Source organism: Homo sapiens, chromosome 6, assembly GCF_000001405.40.
Source record: "Homo sapiens chromosome 6, GRCh38.p14 Primary Assembly".
Lineage (NCBI taxonomy): Eukaryota > Metazoa > Chordata > Mammalia > Primates > Hominidae > Homo > Homo sapiens.
In genome coordinates this window covers 116,855,576-116,871,292 of record NC_000006.12, presented here as the reverse complement: position 1 = coordinate 116,871,292, position 15,717 = coordinate 116,855,576, and positions in this window count along the sequence as shown.

The window sequence follows — 15,717 nt, the reverse complement described above, 5'->3', positions numbered from 1 at the left end:
TTGTCAGACAATTTCCTGAACAACTATCTCTTCTATCTCCATCATTCTAAAGATAGACATGTCTTTTAAGCCCAAGACAGGAACTTCAGCTTGAATTGGGGCCCAGAGCTGGCAATTTAACCCTGAACCAGAAGTGTCTTTAATGAGAATGTGTGCTGTTGAAACCCGTTTAGGTTTGTAAACATTTCCTTCGATTTTCCTTAGGGCTGTGATGAGATATTCTTCTTCCCTTGTACCTCTTCATACAATAAACCTTAATGAGTGACGGATTCAAATAGGCTCATTTCTTATTTGATATGTGATTTTGAAAAGTAAAAGTGTTAGGATAGAGAGTGTAAAGGAGCTTATTACATTACTCTCTTTTTTTAAATATATATATATTTTTTATTATACTTTAAGTTCTGGGGTACATGTGCACAACATGCAGGTAACAGAGAATACTTGGACACAGGAAGGGAACGTTACATTACTCTCTTTTTAAAAAAGTTATTTCAAAATAAAAATTTTGAAGCTGAGTTTTTTTTAATTGTTAGTAAAAGTTAACTTATGATTGTTTGTAAATAGAAGATATTTATATAATTCTAGGGATGCAAATATAATCATAAAATATGTTAAAGCTTGGGAAATGTATGTTTATTATAATGTTACTGTTAAAATGTAGAGAAAATACATTTAAAATATTTCAATGTTCACTTCTTTAGTTAAATTAATGTAAATTACTCTATTTTTTATTGAAAGTTATTTTGTTAAGCCTTAACATCCAGTATCTTCAAGAACCTTTGTTCTTCACATACAAACAACTTACATTTCTTTCCATTTCCAATAAAAGATAGTCTAATGCTCTTTTTTAGATTAATGTAAGACTACTCGTTTGTTTGCAATAGTGAAGAAAGAAAATAGATTATATTAGTCAGTATACAAAAGTAAATAATTTATTGCTCTATGTGTATTTAAGAACTGCTCCTTACATACTATTGTAATAAGCACACATAGTAAATGGCAAAAATATAAGTTGCAACTCAAATTTAATATTAAATGTATATATTAAACAGCAGCTGGGACATAGTGGATACCTATTAAATATTTGTTACAAAAGTGAATGGAAATTGGTGGCACCCTTCATCCTTACTTTCATCAACCAAAAATAATTTATCATGACCTGGTGATTCAAATATAAATAAGACATTTTATTTCATTTTCAATACTCAGTCTAATGGAGGAGGCTGATATATTAGAATACAACATGGTGGTATGTACAAAATGCTCTAGGAATACAGAAGCAAGGGTCCATGAAGGGCAGGCAGAAGGCTTCACGGAGAATGCAACATTTAATCAGCCTTGAAGGATTTGTTTGCATTCACAGGTGGAATTGTGGGGAAAATACATTCCACACAGAGGGAATAGAATGTACAGAGGCACAGCGGCAATAAAGAGTACAGCTGGTTGGAGGAGTTGGTATTTGGGTCCAGTTAGAGAAAAGGATCATCATGAGACATGAAAGACCATGAGTTAAGGTCAGATCTTGAGAGGGCTTGATCAAGCTAAGAAATGTGTACAACTTTATCACAACGGACAATAACAAATCACTGAGGGGTACTAGGAAGAAAAATATAATAAAAAGTAAGTGGATTGTGGAGGAGGAAAGTTAGAAAGACCAAGTGATAAAACGAAGACTTGGATTAGGCTATGACGGTGAAGATAGAAAAGAACGGACTGATTCAAGAACATTTTGAGGATATACACAGGGTGATTGCTGTAGATTGTTATAGTATTGGTCCCTAATGATTCATGCATCTTCCATCCATGCTTTTGGTAATACCCACCTATCTTGCCTCTGAACTTGGCTATTAGCAACCACACAAGCAGAGGCTTGGAAAGAACTCATGCATTGAGGCTTCACCTCTTGCTCATGCTGGATACCTTGAGACCATCACCAGGAGGCTAAGACCAGGCTAGCTTGTTGTAGATGTGTTAAGCCCATTATTTCAGCTGATAACCAGTTGGTCTGGCTAGCTATTAAAAACTGCTAGCCAGAAAGACCCCACTGCCAGACATGTATGTGATGCAAGCAAAGCCATTTTTAAATAACCAATTTCTAATTGACCTGCTAGTTGACTACAGCCTCAGGAGTGAGCCTTGGTGAAGCTCAGCTTGGCCAAACCTGGCTTAAATTGGTGACCCATAGAATTGTGTCCTAATAAATATTGTTTAAAGCCACTAAAATTTGAAGCAATTTGTTACACAGCAAAAACTAACTGATACAGTAACATATTGGCTTTTGCTTTGCATGTCACAAAAAGTTGACTTAACTTTAGAGATGATGAAGTAACAGCTAGTAGAGAAGCTGAAGAGTAAATGTGAAGCAATTTTTTATTTTTTGCTTTTGAGGGCGTTTTTGTTTGCTTTTTAATTTTTTAAAAGGGAACAGAGGAACTCAAAGGTGAGGGAGATTTTGAATAATAAAACTTACTTCAAAGGGATCATATAAAGATAAAATGCACTAATATACACAAATACACCAAATGAAAAATAATCGTTACCTTATAAGTCTGTGTATATGTAAATTGTATGTACTTTATTTTCTATTTTACTTTTTACAGAACTCACACAAGTGGATGCATGCATACAGACATATACACATGTTCTATTTTGGGGAGAAATAACTTGGGTGCCATATTATACTCTAAAACAGCTTCCTAAAGTTTCTGGTCATAGGTAGAATGTAATTTTTGCAAGCAGATCTCTCCTTCTACCCCCAAATCCAGGGAATTATGCAGCTGCTTCTTTGAAATGAAGTGTCTACAAAAAGACACACTCTGCAGGTGTAAACAGAGTCAGATATTCCAAGTGTGAACCCTAAACCCTTTTAATAAATTAACCATGTTTGAGGGCTAAGCAAACTCTTCTTTACTTTTGAAATTTTCAGTTAAAATATTCTATTTACCACACATTTTCCTAGTAGTTTTGGGGCTGAAGTATCTATTATTTCAAAAAATAAATTATGTAACAAGATATGCCATCTTATCAAGCATTTAATTTCCAAACGTAATGTGTAGTCTACAAGATGAAGGAAATTAACTGCTCATTGTCTTATCAGCACTCATTTGAGATGAATGGGCAAAATCAGAGTGCTTTTCAGTCCTAATAGTCCTATAACAGGGCAAATAATTAAAATTAAATGTCTTATAAGTGTGAATTTTTAGGCATGTTTTATCTACTGTCATGAGCAACACAAAAGCAATTAAATCATCTAAAATTTAGGGCAGCACACATGATTTTTCACAAATTTGTACTTAATTTTTTGTAATCAATAGCTGACTCCAAACCTGTTTTTCTTCTCAGTGTACTTCTCTGTCATTGCTCAGTTGTAAAATACACTCTAAATGGCTCCTTTACTTAGAATTCCTGTTCCATTAATATTTAGGATTGTAGCTTTTATTTTTTCTTAGCCTTCCAATTTTTTTGCATGTTATAAAATTATATGTGAATATGCTGATTTTAATCACTTTGTTAGTATACCACAATAATGTCTAATAATCATTAGCAATTTTGATGAAATAAACTGCTTTTAAAATACAATATTGAAATAAATAACTCTTTTCAGAACTCACGTAATTTCCTCAATCTAAACAAATTAATTTTGTTTAGATTACTAGTTTTGTACTGTGTCACTGAGTGGAATGGATAACTATGTCTATTAACTCAAGGCTGTGGTTCCAAGACTGTGTGTACAATGCATTTATTTCTCATTCCTCACTCTGTTTGAAAGCTTTTGAGCCCAATATATCATCTTTGCTGAACTATTTATCCAATGGAAGAACTGAGTAAATGCTGTTCTTTCCATAACATTACTTTTGGGTGCCTGCAGAGGATAAATAACAATAGAATAGCGCAATAAGTAAGTAAACATTAGGTCAAGAGAAGAGACAGTTGGCTATATCCAACCCAAGGATTAGAGCAGTGCTTTTTGAAGCTGAGCCATTTGCATCAGAATTACCTGAAGTCATTGTGAAATATGCATGTTCCCACCTCAGAAGCAGTTCATCAAATGTGTGAAATGAATATTAGCAACAGAGTATCATATTTTATAAATTTCTCACATTTGTACAAGGAAAATTGTCCTTTAGAATATGTGAGGGAAGAGAATGTATCCCAGCCTAAGCCATGGTCTAAAATCTTAAGAGACATAATAAAGTTGGCCTTCGGCAAGATTATAATTTAGCATTGGTTCCTTCAGAAGGGCAGTGTAAAGAAGAGAGTTGGGGGGTTGGGTAAGGAGGAGCAGGTTGAAGAAGGAGACAGTAATCACAATTCCTCTGTTGTCTCATCAGTACTTCCCTGGTGTTTCAGTTCACAACATGTAGAAAACGACAATGTTATATCCAGCACACTGGGACAAGCAGATGAGTCTGTTCACAAATACAAGCAAGTACACCAGATACTTTGTATGCCAGAAAGAGACTAAGGGGATCAACGCCATCCCCTTGGGGACACCTGTTGGGAAATTTTACCAGGCAACATCCATCACTCTGTGAATGTGTTTATCACTAAATGCTTTCAGAATTGCCTGGGCATTGGTTTTACTTTCTCTACTTTGTAGAGTGGAGGGGCTAGTACCAGGAAGTTGCTGAGTCATTCTCCAGCTTCTTTTAAAGAACATGAGACAGGTTTTTTTGATTTCCACAGTCAATTAGTGAACATGATTTAATGAATATGATATTGCATGTAGAATTTTTTCTTGATTGCTGTATCAGAAAGCACATGCAATTCACCTGTATTGTCTTTTCAGTTAACAATCTACAATGTTGTGAAGTGAAATTTCAATTTTGATGACTCCACATAAAATAAGAAAAAATACAAGTGCAAAATAAATAGAACAGTGATAGATAGATTCCACTTTTATTTATCCTTAGATGACAATTGTTTGCTAATCATGTTTACATTAAAAAAAGAAAAAAGCAGGCTGGGCGCGGTGGCTCACACCTGTAATCCCAGCATTTTGGGAGGCCTAGGCAGGCAGATCACTTGAGCTCAGTAGTGCAAGACCAGCCTTGGCAACATGGTGAAAGCCTATCTCTACTAAAAATACAAAAATTAGCCCGGTGTTGTGGTGGGCGCCTGTAATCCCAGCTGCTCGGAGACTGAGGTAGGAGAATTGCTTGGGCCCCGGAGGCGGAGGTTGCAGCTGTGAGCTGAAATCATGCCACTGCACTCCAGCCTGGGCAACAGAGCAAGACTCTGACTCAAAAGAAACAAAGAGAGAGAGAGAGAAAGAGAAAGAAAGAAAGAGAGAGAGAGAAAGAAAGAGAAAGAAAGAAGAAAGAAAGAAAGAAAGAAAGAAAGAAAGAAAGAAAGAAAGAAAGAAAGAAAGAAAGAAAGAAAAGCAAACATGCATTCCAGGTAAAATAAAATAAAATAAAATAAAGATGATGGCAATTAGAAACAGAGAAGTCAAAAGAAAGAAAGAAAAAGAAAGAAAGAAAGAAAGAAGAAAAATAAGCAAACATGCATTCCAGGTAAAATAAAATAAAATAAAGATGATGGCAATTAGAAACAGAGAAGTCAAAAGATGGCTTTGACACTAAATTTTACAAAATCAAAACCGCTAAAAGTACCAAGTGTATTAGTCCGTTTTCACGCTGCTAATAAAGACATACCCAAGACTGGATAATTTATTAAGAAAAGAGGTTTAATTGACTCACAGTTCAGCATAGCTGGAGAAGCCTCAGGAAACTTATGGTCATGGTGGAAGGGGAAACAAACACATCTTTCTTCATGTGGCAGCAGGAAGCAGAAGTGCCAAGCAAAGGGGGAAAAGCCCCTTATAAAACCATCAGATCTCATGAGAACTCATTCACTGTCACCTGAACAGCATGGGGGTAACTGCCCATGATTCAATCATCTCCCACTGGTCCCTCCCATGACATGTGGGGATTATGGGAACAACAATTCCACATGAGATTTGGGTGAGGACACAGCCAAACCGTATCACCAAGTAATTAATATTTCAAATAAAAAGGCTTCTTGATTATTATCCCAAATTCTGAAGAACTAAAAATGTGGGCTTCCATATATAACTCAAAGTATGATGAATTTTAGAAATATATCTTTCAGTATTAATTGGATGCATCAAATTATTACAAAATAAATCAGAAAATATATAACTTTGAAAATCATATGTCAACTTTAAAAAAAATTAAATGGCACGCAGAGCTAAAAGTAAACTGTAATAACATTTACACTAACATGGGAAGCAAATAATTACATTTGATTACACATTTGGGGTTTATCTATTTGTAATTTCTATTTACTCACATTTCCAGAAACTTCAATCACTGACAAGTAGGAAAACATAAAATCAAAAGTAAAACCAAAGTACATATTAAGTCTATTCACAAACTTGCAGTAAATGTAAACTAAGCTTCAATTTTATGAGGTGAAACACTTCATCCTTAAAGCTTACCTGTTATCACTACTGATTTATTACTTAAATCACATAAAATATGTGGCTGATTATTTGTTTATAACCATGAGTTAATTTTGAAGGAACACATGAGAGAGATATATGTCAATTGGTCCCTCTAGAGATAATATGTAAATTATCAGGGTTATATAACTTACTGGTTGATCACATAAGGAAAATTAAACTAATTGAAAATTCTCCTATGATGAGTTTCCATTAAATACTCTATGAATTGCCAGCTGCCTTCAACATTCACTTACTACTAGATGTAAAAGGACTCAGGAAAATCATACAAAATAAGGAAATTGTAATGGTTGATGCAGCAAGTGATTAAGGTAAAAATGAGGATTTTAGTAGGGTCATGATCACGGTAAGGATAATTTCTGTTTTGACCCTGTTCCAGTGTATTGATAATTACAAGCCTATGAAGATAAAAAGTAAGTCTGTACTGCCAACAATAAGAGTATGTTAGAATTCCAATAATTTCCTCATCCACCTTGATGTGAATGAATCCAAATGGTTTAAACTAGAGTAATTACTGATCATGAAAGCTTGTGGAAATATGAATCCATGTCATATATAATAAAATTCTGAGTTTTAGAGTTATGATTGTAAAATGCCCTTTTCAAACTCATGACTTTCCCATATTTTATCAAGATCACTCGATCAGGGAATGGAAGGATATGATATCTTCATTGCTTCATTCAGTAAACCCCAGGCATGATATGCTCACTGGGTGGGTAGCTTTGTAGAAAACCCCAGAGGAAGTAAAGCTCTTTCTCCCTGTCAGGGATACACTTTAACACTTGCAGTGAAAGGACACATGCAGACTTGCTGAGGAAGCAGGCTGACTCATCTCACCCAGACAAGCAATCTCTTCTGTACAGTGGCTTCATGATGTCCAAAGACACCTGGAAACTCGTATTTACCTGTGTGTAGTCCTGTGTTCCAGCAGGAAAACAAGAAATGCTGAAGAGAATATGGAGAATGAGAGAAAAGTAAATAGAATAAACAAAAACTAAGCATCTGATATATTTGAATGCAAATTCAAGACCCAGAGGATATAACCAAGACAAACTGAAAAAAGGCTAATTTATCACAATTGGAAAAAACACATGGTGGAATAAAAGCACATTGAATCTTATAACAGCTAGAATGGAGGTGTAAGTTCTTCAGAAATGAAAGGATAAATGCAAAGCATTTATCAATTTCTATGTCATTAATAGTATGTAACACTTTGCTCATAACTGGTGCTCAATATTCAATATAGGAATTAATGACTCTATTAGGTTTTAATAATAATATATCATCTAGGAAACATTTATTATGTGCTAGGTACTATGTTAAGTATTTTATATATTACAATTTTTTTGTTCTCACTGATTCTATGAGGTAGACGTGGATATGACCTTTTTACTGATGGAGAAACTGATACTCCAAAAATTTAAGTAACTTGCCCAATTTTCCATGGTTAGGAAATAGAGACAAAACCAAACCAAGTCTTGCTTGATTTAAAGTTTCCTGTTCTTATCCAGTATAATGCCAACCTTGTTAGACTTCCCACTCAATATATGGGCCAAGTCTCTGTCTCCTACTTGCTTGGACCAGTGGTTCTCATCCCTATCAACTCATATCCACATACCCCTTTTTATAACAAATTTCGTATACTCTCTTTACTACACCAAAATGAAATTTATAGATGACATACATATGTTTTTAATCAATGTGATGCACTGACTGTAATAAGCAACAAAATTAATAATAAATAATATGTATTTCAATGGATACATGCTTAGGCATGTATACATTATACAAGCATATTAATATTGGTAAAGTTTTTGGGGTTTTTTTGAGACTCAAGCATGAGAAGTATTGCCATTGGTAATATGATTTTCTTGAAATGGTAAACAAATCTTTGTAAAGTTACATTTAAAATAAAATATAATCTTTCCTCAATTTAAATAGTAGTTGCATTCTGTATTAATCTGTTATTGCACTGCTATGAAGAAATACCTAAGATTGAGTAATTTATAAGAAAAGAGATTTAATTGGCTCGTGGTTCTGCAGGTCGTATAGGAAGCATGGCAGCATCTGCTTCTGGGGAGGTCTCAGGAAGCTTCCAATCATGGTGGAAGGTAAAGGAGGAGCAGGCTCATCACATGGTGAGAACAGGAACAAGAGAGAGTAGGGAATGAATGACCACAGACTTTTAAACAGCCAGATCTCATGAGAACTCATTTACTATCGCAAAGACAGCACCAAGCTATGAGAGATCCACCCTCATGACCTAAACACCTCCCATCAGGCCCCCACCTCCAGCACTGGGAATTACAATTCAACATGAGGTTTGGGCGGGGACAAATATCCAAACTGTATCACATTCCTAAAAAGGTTATTATATATTGGGCTGGGGACGGTGGTTCATGCCTGTAATCCCAGCACTTTGGGAGGCCGAGGCAGGCAGATCACGAGGTCAGGAGATTGAGACCTTCCTGGCTAATATGGTGAAACCCCATCTCTACTAAAAAATACAAAAAAAAAAAAAAAGTTATTATAACCATACCAAAAATTTCTTTGTGTTTATATGTAAAATAGCTTCTAGGCTTATAGAATTATACACAGCTATTTCACCTACCTGATGTATAGTGGGGTATTTAAAAGTCATGCAAAATTCATTTGTGGAATATCTTTATAGGATGTTAAGCATCTTGGTCCCACCCACTAAATACTGATAGCATCTCTCCTCCCAATCATAATGAAAACCAAAAGTACCACTGATCGTGACACAAATTGCTCCCAATGGAAACCATTCATTCAAACCTTTAAATAGGATTCACTAATATAAACAAAAATAATATACTAATTCAACTACACACATTAAATGCATGCAAAATTTAAACATTTAAACTAGGGCGTGTGGCAATTTCAGGAACTGGGGAATATTTGGATTAAGATAATGAAACTAACCAGGAGTAAAATACTCATATGGAAAATGTAAAAACCAACAGGAAAAGGGGCACGTAAATACAGGATAAACCTTGTCTAGAATTAACCAAGGGGAAACTAACACAAGCGGAGAAAAGAGAAGCCAGAGTATACACCCTTTCTTCCTCAGGGAGTGTGTCTGCCATTTCTGCATTTCCTCCCAGGATTCAGCTCCTGGCAGGCAGCCCCCTCTCCATGGGCCCAGCTTCCACTGAATGGCATGGCTCTAGGCTGTGTAACATCATCTCCCCCCTTAGTTCTTCCACCCCTGGAGACAATAGCAGCTTCCTGCTGTTGCTGATCTCTAAATTAATTTACCATTCTATTTGGCTTTTTAACTCTTCCAATATCTTTATAATTCATTCCCTATATTAAATTTCCTCTTTGAACCTACCTAGCATTGGTTCATTTTTCTGACTAGTCTCTGATAGACAGGTTCTTGATAGCAAGAAAAATTAGTCCAGTATCTTAACAAAAATCGTAAAATAAATATTAGTCAGTAAAGCTACCAGTATGTTTTTACCAAATACTATATACCTACTAAGGTGCATTTGCTATTATTACAACAGAATTAATTTACTCAGCCCTGCTCAAATGAAGTATACACTCTACTAAGCCATGAAGTGAAAGCAATATAGTATAAAAGTTAAGGGTAAGGTTTTTGTTTTCAGGTAGACCTGGATGATAATCCACAATCTACCACTGAGTACTCATGTGACTTTGTTGACGTGTTTTAACCTCTCTAAGCCTCATTTTTCTCTTCTACAAAATAGGGATCATGATAATAATATCTGATTTGAACAATAAATTATATAAAATATGTATAGCATCCCCCATAGTGCTTGGCTGTAAGGTCTTATGGAAAAAAATATCAGTAAAGTAAGGAAATTTAAATTTAGAAAAGTAGGCTTTAAGAAAAGGTGCTGCTAAGCCCTTAATGAGATAATTAATAGAGGTTTAACATTACAAACAGTTGCATATTCTCCTTATTTAGAAAGGGCAAGAAAAATAAATCTGGCCTGCAGGATATCAGGCTTTTAGATTGAAAGCCTTTCAGGAGAATAACTCTTCAACTATATTAAGGTTCTGATACACTTTTGCATAATCCTTATGGTTAAACAAATTTATGACTACAGTTTAGGTATTTTGTTAATACTTTACTAGGTAGATCAGCTGTTTATCTTACTTGGGATTAATTATTCAGTTTACTATGTATTGTCAAGGAAGAAAGGAACATAAGAAAAATGGGGGATGAAAGTCGAAGAACAGCCACAGTTCTCTTTCTTCTTTTTTTGCATAAGAATGTACACACCAAGAAAATGTCTTAATTCAGGGAGTAAGGCAATGGGAGGGAGGGTCCTATAATTCTTCTTTGAGTATCAAATTTTCCAACTATTCTCTTCGTGAAAGGAATAACAATAGACTAAAGTGAAGAAATACAGAATTACACCAAAAACTAAAAAATCAAATGGGAAGAACTTATTCCAGGGATGATGAATTGGGTCATTTTTTCCACTGAGAACAAGTAGAAAAGCTAAAATAAGACAAAACAAAATTTTTAAAGCTTTAGAAAAATCTCTTTAAATACACTGGAGACCTTACAATATAGTGAAGATAATTTGAATAAGATTCAAGGGAAGAAGCAACCCAGAGAAGAAAGCTCAACTTTCAGAGCTTCTTCTTCCCCAGGAATGTCTAATGGTTGAAGAAGAGATGCCTGACAGTCTGAGAAGCTGGATAATGTACTGACAGTATCACAAAACTCAGTGAACACAAACTAAAGTTCAGATCCTACTGAAGAAAGAAGTTCCTGAGAAAGAGGCTTGTTGTGGTACAGTAGAAGACCCATTTCCCCTAAAGAAATGGTAAACTGAAAATTGACTGGCCCCAGAAGAAACTGAAGGTCAATTTCAGATACTCTCAGATCATAAATTTGAATTATTTGAATGGCTGCTATTTATTCCTATCCAACTACCAAAGAGAAAGTTAAATCCCTTCTGGGGGAAGAACACATTACCCTAGGCCTCAATTATTTCTAAAATAAAATTTTCTTATACAATAACTGGCATTCCACCAAAATAAATCTGGATACCACAAGGAAATAAGAAAGTATAATTTTAAAAACCGCAAGAACAAAGGCAACTGAAACAATTCACAGAAGATGCAGAAAGAGAGTTACCAGACACTTAAAATTACCATGTTTAATATACTTAATAAGTAAAATGCAAGATTGGTAACATTTATTCTATAAAAAAGAAATAAGCAAAAATTCTAGAAATAAAAAATGCAATCAGTGAAATTAAGAATTTAATACAGCTGAAGATAGAATTAGTGAACTAGAAGGTAAACCACAAGAGACACAGCTGAAGATAGAATTAGTAAACTGGAAGGTAAGTCAGAAAAATATCCAGACTGAATGAGAGACAAAAAGAAAGGCAAAAATACAAGAATTAAGCTGAGATTGACTTAGTGTTCTCCAGAAAGATAGGACAAATGGGATATATAAAAATATAGAAAGAAATTGACTGGGCTCACACAATTATGGAGGCTGACAAGTCTCAAGATCTGCAGTCAACAAGCTGGTAAACCAGGAAAGATTATATTGTAATTCCAGTCCAAGACCAAAGGCCTGAGAACCAGGAAAGCCAAGCGTATAGTTATGGACCGAATGCTAGCAATCTTGAGACTCAGAAAGAGCCAGTGTTTCAGTTTGAATCTGAGATAGGAAGAAAAAAACACAATGTTCCAGCTCAAGGAAGCCAAACAGGAAGAGTTCCCTCTTATTTTCAAAAGCTAAGCTTTTTTGTTTTACTCAGGTCCTCAACTGAATAGATAAGGGCTACTCACATTAGGGAGGGCAATCTACTTTACTCTGTCTACCAATTCAAATGTTAGTCTCATCTATAAACACCCTCTCAGACACACCCAAAATAATGTTTGACCAAATATCTAAGCATGTATCTCCCAGTGAAGTTGACATATAAAATTGACAATCACAGAGATCTAGGGAACATAGTTAAAAATATTATTATCCAAGAGGAAGAAAGAGAAAAAAAATCAAAAGTAATACTTAAAAATATAATGGCTTGAGTACTTTCTAACAGTGACAAAAGATATAAAACCACAAATTCAAGAAGTGCTATAAAACTCAGGATAAATAAGAAAACTAAAATATATATCATGCAAACACAAATCATAAGGCAGGTGAAGAGCTTTAGATTAAAACAAAGGAGACTTTAGGATGGAATATTATCAGAGATAAAGAGAGACATTTTATATTGATCAAAAGGTCAATTGTTTAAGATTTAATATGTATGCATCTAATACAAAGCTTTAAAATTTATGAAGCAAAAACTTTAAAAATTAAAGGAAAAAACTGAAAATCAATCATCAGAGTTAGAGATTTTGACATTCATGTCTTTATGGTTGGAAGAATAAGAAGACAAAAAGTTATTACAGATATAGATGGTCTGAACAAAACTATTAGGCAACTTGACCTAATTGATGTTTACAAACACTACACCCAACAACTACAAACACACTCTTTTCAAGTGCATATGGAATATTTATCAAATATGCTGAGCTAGTAAGAAACAAATCTCAGTATATTTTAAAAGGCTGAAATCATACAGATTATGTTCTCTCAATGAAATTAAATTTAAATTTGAAAACAGCAAGTTATCTTGAAAATTATCATGTATTTGATAATTAAACAATATACTTCTAATGTGGGTCAAAGGAAAATAATTGCAAGAAAAAATATTTTGAACTGAATGATGATAAAAACATACTCTATTAAAATTTGATTTTGATCCAAATTAGAGGTATTCAGTTAAAGCAGTACTTAAAAGCAGATTTGTAGCTTTAAGTAATTAAACTAGTGAAGAAAAAAAAGTTTAAAATCAGGGCTCTAAATTACCATCTTAAGAAGTTAGCAAAAATTAACTCAAGATGGATTAAAGACTTAAATGTAAGACCTAAAACTATAAAAACCCTATAAGAAAAACCATAAAAACCCTAAAACCAGAAAAACCATTTGGGACATAGGCATGGGCAAAGACTTCATGACTAAAACACAAAAAGCAATGGCAACATAAGCCAAAATTGACAAGTGGGATCTAATTAAACTAAAGAGCTTCTGCACAGCAAAAGAAACTATCATCAGAGTGAATAGGCAACCTACAGAAAGGGAGAAAATTTTTGCAATCTATCCGTCTGACAAAGGGCCTATATCCAGAATCTACAAAGAATTTAAACTAATTTACAAGAAAAAACAAACAATCCCATCAAAAAGTGGGTGAAGGAAGTGAACAGACACTTCTCAAAAGAAAACATTTAAACAGCCAACAAACGTATGAAAGAAAGCTCATCATCACTGATCATTAAAGAAATGCAAATCAAAACCACAGTGAGATACCATCTCACACCAGTTAGAATGGCGATCATTAAAAAGTCAGGAAACAACAGATGCTGGGGAGGATGTGGAGAAATAGGAACGCTTTTACACTGTTGGTGGGAGTGTAAATTAGTTCAACCATTGTGGAAGACAGTGTGGTGATTCCTCAAGGATCTAGAACTAGAAATACCATTTCACCCAGCAATCCCATTACTGGATATACACCCGAAGGATTATAAATTATTCTACTCTAAAGACACATGTACACATATGGTTTATTGCAGCACTGTTCATAATAGCAAAGACTTGGAACCAATCAAAATGCCCATCAATGATAGACTGGATAAAGAAAATGTGACACATATACACCATGGAATACTATGCAGCCGTAAAAAAGGATGAGCTCATGTCCTTTGCAGGGACTTGGATGGAGCTGGAAACCATCATTCTCACAAACACTGGAACAGAAAACCAAACACCACATGTTCTCACTCATAAGTGGGAGTTGAACAATGAGAACATATGGACACAGGAAGGGGAACATTACACACCCTGGCCTGTCGGTGGGTTGGGGGCTAGGGGAGGGATAGAATTAGGAGAAATACCTAATGTAGATGACAGGTTGATGGGTGCAGCAAACCACCATGGGACGTGTATACCTATGTTACAAACCTGCACGTTCTGCACATGTACCCCAGAACTTAAAGTATAATAATAAAAAAAAAATTAGCAAAAGAAAAGCAGATTAAAGCCAAGCAAGTGAAAGGAAAAACATAACAAAGAGAAGAGAAAAAATCATTTCAATAAAAAATTAAAGAATAGTCAAAATGGTGGTTCTCTGAAAAGAGTAAAATTTATAAACTTCTAGCAAGGCAAGAATTATTTTAATGAGTAAGCTAAAACATAAATCATTAATATCAAGTATAAAAGGAGGATATCATTATAGATTCCAGATATAAGAAATGGTGAATGAGGACAATTTATGAAGAACTTTTGCCTAATAAATTTAAAAACCTGGATGAAATGAATAATTTCATCAAAACATAACTTATTAACACTGATTTGATACAAAATCAAAAATAAAAATAGCCTTATTTTATATTTAAAAATTAAAATCACAATCAAAACTTTTCTATGAAGAAAACATCAGGTCTGAATGGTTTCATTAGTTACTTCTATTAAATATTTCAGAAAGAAATAATACCATTCTTACACAGATTTTCAGAAAAAGGACATGGGAATACGTTCTATGTTAGTCTGTTGTCATACTGTTATAAAGAACTACCTGAGACTGGGTAATTTATGAAGAGCCTTAATTGACTCACAGTTCTACAGGCTTAACAGGAAGCATGACTGGGAGGCCTCAGGAAACTTAACAATCATGGCATAAGGTAAAGGGGAAGCAAGCACGTCTTTTTTTTTTCCAACTTTTTTTTTTTTTTTTTGAGACAGAGTCTTGCGGGGTATCCCAGGCTGGAGTGCAGTGGCGCGATCTCGGCTCACTGCAAGCTCCGCCTCCGGGTTCCTGCCACTCTCCTGCCTCAGCCTCCGGAGTAGCTGAGACTACAGGTGCCCGCCACCACACCCGGCTACTTTTTTGTGTTTTTAGTAGAGACGGGGTTTCAACATGTTAGCCATGATGGTCTCGATATCCTGACGTCGTGATCCACCTGCCTCGGCCTCCCAAAGTGCTGGGATTACAGGCATGAGCCACCACACGGCCCCAACTTTTATTTTAAGTTCAGGGGTCCATGTGTAGAATGTGCAGGTTTGTTACATACGTAAACATGTGCCATGGTGGTTTGCTGCACAGATCATCCCATCACCTATGGATTAAGCCCAGCATCCATTAGCTATTCTTCCTGGTGCTCTC